Source organism: Homo sapiens, chromosome 14 (genome assembly GCF_000001405.40).
Source record: "Homo sapiens chromosome 14, GRCh38.p14 Primary Assembly".
Taxonomy (NCBI): Eukaryota; Metazoa; Chordata; class Mammalia; order Primates; family Hominidae; genus Homo; species Homo sapiens.
In genome coordinates, this window is record NC_000014.9 from 92,754,154 (window position 1) to 92,766,575 (window position 12,422).

At 45.5% G+C, this 12,422-nt stretch overlaps 1 annotated feature.

Moving 5' to 3' along the window:
• Positions 851-1,145: a silencer, noted in NCBI's record as "tiled region #3328; HepG2 Repressive DNase matched - State 9:DNaseU". NCBI's record gives its function as "represses a minimal TATA promoter and a strong SV40 promoter by Sharpr-MPRA in HepG2 cells {active_cell/tissue: HepG2}" and the evidence as "EXISTENCE:reporter gene assay evidence [ECO:0000049][PMID:27701403]".

Genomic DNA, 12,422 nt, shown 5'->3' on the forward strand with positions numbered 1-12,422 from the left:
CAGGAGGCGGAGGTTGCAATGAGCTGAGATCACGCCACTGCACTCCAGCCTGGGCAACAGAGCAAGTCTTTGCCTCCAAAAAGTAAAATAAAATTTAAAAAATAAAGGTGTGGGCTCTGGATCCAGATTGCGTGGGTTTATATTCCAGCTCTGGCAATTACTGACTGTGTTACCTTGGACAATTATTATACCTGTCTATGCTTCAGGTTCTTCATTTATAAAATAGGAAATCATAGTTACAGTGCTCTATTTCATTGGGTTGTTGCAAATATGAAATGAGTTAGTATATGTAAAAAAAAAAAAAAACCTAAGAACAGGGTCTAACCATGTGTCAGCTGCTTACCAAGTGCATAAGTATCAGCCACTCGCCTCCTCTCTCAGGGTTGCCACAGTCAATTCTCCCCACCATAGATGGAGTCAAATGTGAATATTTCAATTGAAGTATAAAATATAGGGGAAAATGCTCAAACTATAAATGCATGGCTCAATAAATAAAATTTCAGAAAATGAAACACCCAGATAATCAACACTCAGAAAATTGAGCCTAGGAGCACTCCAGAAGTTTCCCTTGGGCCTCCTTCAGGGGATTTTTTTTTTTAACTTCTCCTGTGTATTTAATTATGCTGTTTCCTCTGGTCCCCGGCTCCCTTTTTTAAAAAATTCTGACCAAGCACTATTTATTCTTTATTAAAAATTTTCTTTTTAAGTTTTTTAATTGTAGTAAATGCATATATAACATAAAATATGTAATTTTAATAATTTTTAAGTGTGTAGTTCAGTGGCATTAATTAAATCCACATTGTTGTGCAGCCATCACCACTGTTTCTAAAAGTTTTCATCATAATTCCAGCTTATTTGTTCCATCCTTCCTAAAATAAGATCCTGCCCAGTTAATATCACCTGATTTCTGCTTAGCCCCATGACCTCATTTACTGCTACCTCACCTGCTCCACTCCAGCCACAATGGCCTTCTTGTCTTTGTATTTGCAGTTTCCAGTTCCTAGAATGCCTTTCCCCTTCCAGTTGCACAGCTGGCTTCTATCCAAATGGCACATCCCTCTTAGGCTGTCCTGAGCCATGGACCTAAAACAGCTACAAACCTCCATCACGCTTCAGCCTTCAACCTTGCTTTACTACCTGACTATGTACACTTGCTTGTTTATTTCCTGGCTCACCACTAAAATTTAAACTGTTTAAAAACAGGGGCCCAGCCTATCTTATTTATTTTTATACCCCCAATGCTCAAAATAATACCTGTCATATAGTCAGTGCCCAGTGAATATATGTCAACTCAATTCCATGCTATGATGAATGGAAGGGAAGTATGCTGTGCTCCTCTGCACAGAAGAGACACCATTTCTTCCTCATTGTTTTTTAAGGATTTCCAGTCAATCAATACACATTAATTAACTCTGTGGTAGGCAGTATTCTAAGTGTGGCCCCAATAACACTCATCTATGCATAATCTCCTCCCCTTTGAGAATGGGTGAAACCTCAGAATATGATGACATCTCACTCTGGTGATTATGTCATGTTTTGGCAAAAGAGAGATTATCGGGGCAGGCAGGCCTACTCTAATCACATGAGCTCCTTAAAGCTGAGAGTTTTCTCTTGCTGGTAGTAGAGAGGTTCACTGGTGGTTTGAAGTTACAGGGGTCACGGGCATATTGGCCGCCCTAAGGAGCTAAGAGAGCCCCTGACTGACAGCCAGCAAGGAAATGGGGCCCTCAGCTTTACAATGGCAGGGAATGGAATTCAGCCAACAACCTGAAGGAGCCTGGAAGTGGATTCTTCCCCAGAGCCTCCAGAGAAGAGCCCAGAATGGTGTCAAAGAAATCATTTTTCAATGATACTTGTTAAAACAAAGTAAAGAAGACTTTATTCAGGACCCTCGAGATACAGGGACTGCTGCAATGGGATTTTGCAGTAGGAAAGAAAGAGATTGGACTCAACTCCAAATACAGCAAGTAGGACTCTACAGCTGTCCTTAGTCTGTTTTCTGTTGCTATGACAGAATACCTGGCCAGGTACGGTGGCTCATGCCTGTAATCCCAGCACTTTGGGAGGCCAAGGCAGGTGGATCACAAGGTCAGGAGTTTGAGACCAGCCTGGCCAACATGGTGAAACCCTGTCTCTACTAAAAATACAAAAGTTAGCCAAGCATAGTAGCGCATGCCTGTAGTCCCAGCTACTCAGGAGGCTGAGGCAGGAGAATTACTTGAACCTGGGAGGCAGAGGTTGCAGTGAGCCGAGATTGCACCACTGCACTCCAGCCTGGGCAACAGAGCAAGACTCCATCTCGGGAAAAAAACAAAAAACAAACAAACAAACAAACAAAAAACAAAAAACGGAATACCACATGCTGGGTGATTCATAAAGAAAAGAGATTTATTTAGCTCATGATACTGGAGGCTGGGAAGTCCAAGACTGAGGGCACATCTGGTGAGGGCTCTCTTGCTGCAACATAACATGGTAGAAGGCATCACATGGTGGTGAGTGGGCATGAAAGACAGAAAGAAGTGGACCAAACTTCCTTCTTTTATCAGGAGCTCATTCCCACAAGAACTCACTCACTCCTGCAATAATGGCATTAATTCATTCACGAAGGCAGAGCCCTCATGACTAATCACTTCTTAAAGTTTCCAATCTCTTTTTTTTTTTTTTTTGAGATGGAGTCTTGCGCTGTCACCCAGGCTGGAGTGCAATGGTGCGATCTCGGCTCACCACAACCTCCGCCTCCCGGGTTCAAGCAATTCCCCTGCCTCGGCCTCCTGAGTACCTGGGACTACAGGCGCATGCCACCAGGCCTGGCTAATTTTTTGTATTTTAGTAGAGACGGGGTTTCACCATGTTGGCCAGGATGGTCTTGATCTCCTGACCTCATGATCTGCATGCCTCAGCCTCCCAGAGTGCTGGGATTACAGGCGTTGAGCCACAGCGCCGGGCCCCAATCTCTTAATATCATCAAAATAGCAATTAAATTTCAACATGAATTTTGGAGGGGACATTCAAACCATAGCAATAACCAAAAAGCAGGGTGGGGGACAGTGGATAAAAAATTACTAAGATGAAATATCAGGATTAAGGGGGATTCTGGCTAAACCTACCTAACAGGAATTTTGCTGAAGACAGACTAAGTTATTGGACATCACCTGGAAGATGAGGGAGGATGAGGAACACGATCAGATAGATCTGCTATCGAGGGTGATCAGATATGGAGGATGAGGGGTTCTTGCCAAACTGACTTAGCAGGGTTCTTACTAAAACTGGATTTTACAAGGAAGGGCATAGACAGGCCTAGGAGAAGGTTCAGGAGCCTGACCAAAATTTGATCAAGTAGAGAATCTTTGTCCCTGCCCAATCTGTTGATTTTGGCCTGTGAGATCCTAATCAGAAAGCCCAGGTGCATTCCTCTGAACTTCTCACCCACAGAACTGAGATAATAGATAGGTGTTGTTTTAATGACAAATAACTTGTGCTATTTCTTATACCGCAATAGGAAACTAATACAAACTCCTACTGTGCAGTCAGCACTATGCACACACGATGGGGAATTTCAAAGAGCTTGTAGTGGGGTTGAATAAATACAAAGGGGATGAGATTTGGCTCCTGTATTCTGTTGTCACTGGAAGAACCCTTGGAGCTGCATTTCCCCATCATGTGTCCCACCTCTCGAAGCCCCAGGCAGCTCTGGACCACCCTGATCCATGGGCCCCACCAGTTCCCCTCCCCAGACACTGCCCACATGTCCTCCCACTCTTAGACAAGTGCCTCAACCATTTGAAAAGTAAAACTCTGATATAGTATGGCTGTGTTCCCACCATCTCATCTTGAATTGTAGTTCCCATAATCCCCACGTGTCATGGGAGGGAGCAGGTGGAGATAACTGAATCATGGGGGCAGTTTCCTCCATCCTGTTCTCATGATAGTGAGTTAGTTCTCACGAGATCTGATTTTTTTTAAATTCTATTATTGATCTGATGGTTTTATAAGGGGCTTCCCCCTTCCCTGGGTACTCATACTTCTCCTCCATGCTGCCATATGGAGAAGGACATGTTTGCCTCCCCTTCCACCATAATTGTAAGTTTCCTGAGGCCTCGCCAGCCACACTGAACTGTGAGTCAATTAAACCTCTTTCCTTTATAAATTACCCAGTCTCAAGTATGTCTTTATTAGCAGCGTGAGAACAGGCTAATACAAACTCAGATTTGGATTGGCATTGTGATCTTTTAAGAGCAATCTTGAGGTTGATAATGAGCCCTCTATATTTTGTACAGTATTTGACATTGGAACAGAGACTGCCATCTCTTATTATAATCTATGTTCTCTTCTTCCTCCTGGGCACATTGCTAGATCACATTTGGCTATTGGCACAGTTGGCTGTGGGCGTGTGACTGAGTTTCAGCCAATAAAATGTAAGAATCTCAATTCCTATGAGACCAGGAACCACTTTTAGGCCCGGCCCATAAACTCTTCTCACTGTGTTCTTCCACACTCCTTCTTCTGAAATGGCCCTGGAAGCCATGTGTTAAGTTAGCAGAACTTCCTTCAGCTTGAGTTCCTGTGTGATTATTTGGAATACATGTTCACCTACCTAGGACTGTTATGTGAACAAGAAATAAACCAATATTGTGTTTAAGCCATTATATATTTTGGGGCTACTTGTTACAGTAGTTAGTCTACCCCAGTGGTTCTCAGAGTGTGGTCCTTGAGCCAGCATCACCTGGGGGCTTGTTAGAAATGCGAGTTCCTGGGACTCAGTCCATATATTGCCTCCTCCCAAAATTGTCTACTTCCTAATCCCCAGAATCTGTGAATATATTACCCTCCATGGCAAAAGGCATTTTCCAATGTGATGAAGACTTTGAGATGGGAGATTATCTTGGATTACCTAGTGTAGGCCCAGTGAAATCACAAGGACCCTTATAAAGAAAGGAGGAAGATCAGATTAAGAGAAGGAGATGCGATGATGAAGTGGCTACATTGTCTGGGGTAAATCAATACCTGGGGTTCATCATCTCATGCCAGGAAAATTTAGGACATGGACACACACGAGGAGTTTAGGAGAGGAGGTTTAATAGGCAAGAGAAAGGGAAAGAAAGAGACACAGAGAACAGCTCTCTCTCTCTTTAGTGAGAGAGAGGAGACTTCCCAGAGGAAAAGGTTAGCAGGTGGTGAATGCACTGGATTTTATAGTCAGGCTTGAGGAGGCGGTGTCTGATTTACATAGAGCTCACAGATTGCTTCAATCAGGCATGACATTTACATAGTGGGTGGAGAAGGCTGGCCACGCCCCCACCCAGTCTTATTATGCACAAGAACTTTCCCCTTGGCCAGTGCCATCTTGTCTGCTCCTTACTGTACACGTGGCTGGCAAAAAAGGGAAGATGGAGCCACTATTTTGAACATGATTGGCACAACTGCTGGCATCTATGTTTGCAGCTCGATTTTATAGGCCCCACTTTGTTAGAAAGGAAAATAATTTGGGGCTGCTTTTCATTAAAAGGAAAACCTTACTGAGGACTTTCATACCCTCACTATCTGCCTATGTAATTTCTTCTTAACTCCTGTATCAATGATAGGACTGTCAGGTCTCTGAGCCAAGCTCAGCCATTATAACCTCTGTGACCTGCACATACACATCCAGGTGGCCTGCAGGAGCCGAGAAGTCTGAAGCAGCCAAAAAACCACAAAGAAGTAAAACACCCAGATCCTGCCTTAACTGATTAACCAAAATTACAACAGTTTACCATTGTGACTTGTCCCTGCCCTACCTTAGCTATCAATCAACTTTGTGGCATTCTTCTTCTGGATAGTAAGTCTTATGATCTCCCCACCATGTACCTTGTGACCCCCTCCTCCACTAACAATAGATAACCACCTTTTACTGTAATTATCCATTACCTACCCAACTCCTATAAAGCAACCCCTTCCCCATCTCCCTTTGCTGACTGTCTTTTTGGACTCAGCCCACCTGCACCCAGGTGAATTAAAAGCTTTATTGCTCACACAAAGCCTGTTTGGTGGTTTCTTCACACCGACGTGCTTGACATTTGGTGCTGTGACTCAGATTAGGGGACCTCCCTTGGGAGATCAATCCCCTGTCCTCCTGCTCTTTGCTCTGTGAGAGAATCCACCTATGACCTCGGGTCCTCAGACCAGCCCAAGAAACACCTCACCAATTTTAAATCGGGTGAGCGGCCTCTTTTTATTCTCTTCTCCAACCTCTCTCGCTCTCTCTCAACCTCTTTCTCCTTTCAATTTCGGCATCACCCTTCACTCTCTCTCTCCCCTCCCTTCATTTCCTTTCCCTTTCTGGTAGAGACAGCGGAGACATGTTTTATCCGTGGACCCAAAACGCCAGCGCTGGTCACGGACTCGGAAAGACAGTCTTCCCTTGGTGTCTAATCACTGTGGGGACGCCTGCCTGATTATTCACCAGCATTCCAGAGGTGTTCGATCACTGCGGGGACGCCTGCCTTGATCCTCCACCTCGGTGGCAAGTACTACCACTCCTGGGTGGCAAGTACCACCCCTCCCCCTTTTCTTCTTGTCTCTACCCCCTCTTTTCTCTGAACTTACCTTTTTACTTTGGGCAACCTTCCACCCTCCATTCCTTCTTTTTCCCCCTTAGCCTGTGTTCTTAAAAACTTAAAACCTCTTCAACTCTCACCTGACCTAAAACCTAAGTGTCTTATTTTCTTTTGCAACACCACTTGGCCCCAATACAAACTTGATAATGGCTCTAAATGGCCAGAAAATGGCACTTTCAATTTGTCCATCCTACAAGATCTAGGTAATTTTGTCATAAAATGGGCAAATCGTCTGAGGTGCCTTACATCCAGGCATTCTTTACACATTGGTCCCTTCCTAGCCTTTGCTTCCGATGCGATTCATCCTAAATCTTTCTTCTTTCTCTCCCGTCCGTTTCTTCAGTCTCTACCCCAACCTCAGAGTCCTCTGAATCCTCCTTTTCTGCAGACCCCTCTGACCTCTCTCCCCCTCCCCAGGCCACTCCTCGGCAGGCTGAATCAAGTCCCAATTCTTCCTCAGCCTTCGCTCCTCCACCTTATAACCCTTCTGTCACCTCCCCTCCCCACACCCGGCCCGGGTTACAATTTCGTTCTGTGGCAAATAATCCTCCACCTGCCCAGCGATTTCCTCTTCAAGAGGTGGCTGGAGCTGAGGGCATTGTCAGAGCGCATGTGCCATTTTCTCTATCAGACCTTTCCCAAGTTAATCAATGCTTAGGCTCCTTCCCCCTCAGACCCCACCAAATATATACAAGAATTCCAATATTTAACTCAGTCCTACAATTTAACCTGGAGTGACTTAAATATCATCCTAACTTCTACCCTCTCCCAAAATGAATGGGAAAGAGTATTTTCTCTGGTCCAGTCCCATGCAGACACCTGCCAGCGTCATGAGCCAGACCTTCAAGAAGGCATCAGGGCAGTTTCCTGAGAAGATCCCCGACGGGAATATCAGGCAGATTCCCCAGGTATAGCTAGGTGAGATTACATGATTTCCTGCCTAGTTGAAGGGCTTTAAAAGGCAGCTTACAAAGCTGTTAATTATGACAAACTTAAGGAAACTACCCAAGGTAAAGATGAAAACCCAGCCCAGGTCATGGCTCGTTTGGCAGCAACCCTGGGACGCTTTACAGCCCTAGACCCAGAGGGGCCAGAAGGCTGTCTTATTCTCAATATGCATTTTATCACCCAGTCAGCTCCTGACGTTAGAAAAAAGCTTCAAAAATTAGAATCTGGCCCTCAAACGCCACAACAGGAATTAATCAATCTTGCCTTCAAGGTGTACACTAATAAGGAAGAGGCAGCCAAGTGGCAACACATAGTTCTGAGTTACAATTACTTGCCTCTGCGGTGAGACAAAACCCAGCCTCACCTCCAGCCCAAAAAAAACTTCAAAACGCCGAAGCCACAGCAGTCAGGCATTCCTACAGGACCTCCTCCCTCAGGATCTTGCTTCAAGTGCCAGAAATCTGGCCACTGGCCCAAGGAATGCCCACAGCCTAGGATTCCTCCCAAGCTGTGTCCCATCTGTGCAGGGACCCACTGGAAATCAGACTGCCCAGCTCACCCAGCAGCCAGTCCTAGAGCCCCTAAAGCTCTGGCCCAAGGCTCTCTGACTGACTCCTTCCCAGATCTGCTTGGCTTAGTGGCTGAAGACTGACGCTGCCCGATCGCCTCGGAAGCCCCCTGGACCATCATGGACCCTGAGCTTTGGGTAACTCTCACAGTGGAGGGTAAGTCTGTCCCCTTTTTAATCAATACAGGGGCTACCCATTCCACATTACCTTCTTTTCAAGGGCCTGTTCCCCTTGCCCCCATAACTGTTGTGGGTATTGATGGCCAGGCTTCTAAACCTCTTAAAACTCCCCAACTTTGGTGTCAACTTGGACAACATTCTTTTATGCACTCCTTTTTAGTTATCCCCCTTCCCAGTTCCCTTATTAGGCAGAGACATTTTAACCAAATTATCTGCTTCCCTGACTATTCCTGGGCTACAGCCACACCTCATTGCTGTCCTTCTTCCCAACCCAAGCCTCCTTCGCGTCTTCCCCTTGTATCCCCCGACCTTAACCCACAAGTATGGGACCCTTCTACTCCCTCCCTGGAAACCAATCACACGCTCATTACTATTCCATTAAAACCTAATCACCCTTACCCAGCTCAGTGCCAGTATCCATCTGACAGCAGACTTTAAAAAGACTGAAGCCTGTTATCACTCGCCTGCTACAGCATGGGCTTCTATAGCCTACAAACTCTCTTTACAATTCCCCCATTTTGCCTGTCCCCAAAACCGGACAAGTCTTACAGGTTAGTTCAGGATCTGTGACTTATCAAGGAAATTGTTTTGCCTATCCACCCTGTGGTGCCCAACCCATACACTCTTTTGTCCTCAATACCTTCCTCCACAACTCACTATTCCGTTCTTGATCTTACAGATGCCTTTTTCACTATTCCCCTGCACCCCTCATCCCAGCCTCTCTTTGCTTTTACCTGGACTGACCCTGACACCCATCAGTCCCAGCAGCTTACCTGGGCTATACTACTGCAAGCCTTCAGGGACAGCCCTCATTACTTCAGCCAAGCTCTTTCTCATGATTTACTTTCTTTCCACCCCTCTGCTTCTCACCTTATTCAATATATTGATACCTTCTACTTTGTAGCCCCTCCTTTGAATCTTCTCAGCAAGATACTTTTCAACATTTATTCTCTGAGGGATATCGGGCATCCCTCTCCAAAGCTCAAATTTCTTCCCCATTCGTTACCTACCTCAGCATAATTCTTCATAAAAACATGCGTGCTCTCCCTGCCGATCGTGTCCAGCTGATCTCTCAAACACCAACTTATTCCAGGAGACAGGGACTACTGTACATATTATCTTTCCTATATAGGGTCTGCAAACAGGACTATTCAACTCCTCCATTCAAAATGCCACTCACACCTTTTGGAAAAAGTGAATATAATAGACTCTTGGCTAAATGCCAGGGGGTCCATTCGTATGAGGGAAAATGGCAACAAAAGGTAGGAATAAAACATTATTCCTACCTTGGCCAAAAAATTCACTGCCACCTACCTTAAAGCTATTATGCTTAATTGCTATTTTTAGAGAATTTAGGAATGTGCCTAGGCAGGCATGCAGGTGTGCTGGAGGGAAGCCAAGAGAGACCTACACACTCCAGAGTAGTTTGGAGAAGCTGGCTAAGGGTTTCTGGATCCTTGCAAAGCACAAAAGCTCAGAACAACTCTGTGGTGTGCAGCATGGTGCCAGCAGCAAGTCTCAGTTCAGCACCTTGAAAACCCAAGTGGGACCAGCCAAGCAAGCACCAGGGCCCAGGAACTAGACCGGGCAAGTCTCAAGACATCAGAGACCAGTAAACCTAGAAGAACAGCATGTGACAAAGGGTCCTCTTCCCACTGCCACGAGGCTACAGAAGCCCACCCTGTCTCCAGATGCCATCTTGGAAAAGAGAAGTGGGAACAGGAAGTGTATTAGTCAGAATGCAGAGTCAGCTACCATGACAGAGACCAAAGTGACAGTGACATAAACAAGATAGAAGGTTTCTCTCTTGTGAAGCATCCAAGTATTAGCAGTCCAGAGCTAATGGAGAAGCTCTTTGGTGTTGGAGACTCAGGTTCGTTCTCCCTTGAGCTCTTCCATTCCTAGACTGTTGGCTTCATCTGGTCTAAGATGGCTCCACACCATGGCACTTTCCAGGCAGCAACATAGAGACTGTATGGATATTATCCTATTGGCCAGAGCTGAGTCACATGGCTGTACCTGGCTTCAAGTGAGGCTGGGAAATGTAGCCTTTAATTGGGAAGCCATGGGCCTGGCTAAAGCTCAGGAGTTCTACCACTAAAGGAAGTAAGGGGGCTGCCAGGAAGACAGCCTGAAAGACGAATCCACTTTTCCAAAGGAATCTGAAGGAAAGTGATTTAAACCAGTGGAATCTGAGCTGTCTCTAAGTGGCAGCTTCAAGGCACCTCTTCCCCATGCCCTGCTCTTTCTCCCTACAATGGGGTTCCAGATCCAGAGAGCAGTTAAAGGAAATAGTGAAACACAATATCTTTTGCAGAGCTGAGGGTTACTTCACATATTTTCAACCCTTTTGAGAGAAAAAAACAGAGAACTGGGTGAAGTTTGAATTGCAGCTCCTCTGTTTCAGAGCACTCAGGCAGGCTGGCAGCTCACTCTTGGGAGAATAGGAGGGGACAGGCCTCTGTCACCAGCATTAATGGTCATCCCACAGTAGGTCTACGGAGAGGCACATCAGTCTTCTAAGGAAGTCTCATGAGTATTCAACAAGTATCAGATGATGACAGAATAGGAGGAGGTTTAGGGTAGGTAGGAGACAGGCCTGAAGTCAAAGACCCCATGAGCCCAATATTAAAATGATTTTCCCCCTTTGGTATTAGAGGAATAATAAGTGCTCTTGTTTTGTTCTTAATACCAGCTCAGAACCTACTAGCAGAGTATTATTTTATCAGCCTATCTTCATGAAAAATCTGTGAAGCAGGGACTATTACTATTCCCATTTTACAGATGAGAAAATGGAACCTCAGAGAAATTAAACAAGAATGACCCAACATCTCTAAGGGAGGTGAGCCTGGAGAGCAGAGGAATTGAGCTGGGCTGGGGCTTTTCTTCCCTAAGGATCCTACGGAACATGTTGCATCACCATCAAACATGGTGGAGTATGTTTCTTAGAAAGATGGAGGAAGAAATTCCTGGCAGGTCATGGTGGCTGATGCCTGCAATCCCAGCAGTTTTGGAAGCCAAGGCAAGAGAATTACTTGAGCCAGTACTTCCAGACCAGCCTGAGCAACACGGTGAGACCCTGCCTCTATAAAAACACAAAAAAATTAGCAGTATGTGGTGGCACATGCCTGTGGTCCCAGCTACTCGGGAGGCTGAGGCCAGAGGATCACTTGAGCCCAGAAGGTTAAAGCTGCAGTGAGCCATGATCAAGCCACTGCACTCCAGCCTAGGAAGCAGAGCAAGACCATGTCTCAAGAAGAAAGAAAAAAGAAAAAGAAAAGAGGAAGAAATTCCTGACTGCTCTTAATATAGTTATTTTCCAAAAGGGAGACACTGAATTTATAGGTGATATGTATAATGATCATGTGTGTGTGTGTGTGTGTGTGTGTGTGTGTGTGTGTGTGTGTGTGTGTTGATAAATAGACGGCTTATTGCAAAATCTGTGACCCACCCAAGGGAAGCCCACAGTTTTGGGACTCACTTCTAGACACATTGTATGTCGCCACCTCTGTTCTGTCTCCTTATACTTCCACTTTTCTCCCCTAAATCATTCTTAATGCAGAAACTTGTTCTTAGGAGGAAAAGACTTGACTCTGTGGAGTCAGCGTCAAGTGCAGTGAGGTGTGTGCAGCTTTTAGCTGCACAAATGGAGAAAAACATTAATGATTTTTTGTTTGTGTCAAGCAACACTGAGGACAATGAATTCCCTATCTTTGCTATGATGAACTTCCATATAATATCTTGCAAGACAAATCAGGATATATTAATACTAGGAAGACAGGGACAGGCCATAGGAACTGTCAGAGGCCACTTCCGTAGATGCAAAGCCTGAGATGTGTTGCAAGTGAGTTATGGAGGGCATGCTCTCAGGAGAAACCTAGAGGGAAGGGAGGGAAATGGAAGAGGGCAAAGGAAGATGCTCTGTAAAGACGAAGCTTCCAGAGGAGGTGGGCCTCAGCCTGATCCCACAGGGAGCTCTGGAGCATGGCTGCTGGTACCATAGAGATAGATCCTTCTGCCCAGAGGCAAGAAGTTTGAGCTGTTACAACCCCCGCATCCATCAGTCGTTGGCCAATAAGGCGGGTGTAGCCTCCCAACCATCTTGTGTGGAGATCTGGGGGACAGCTTCCACA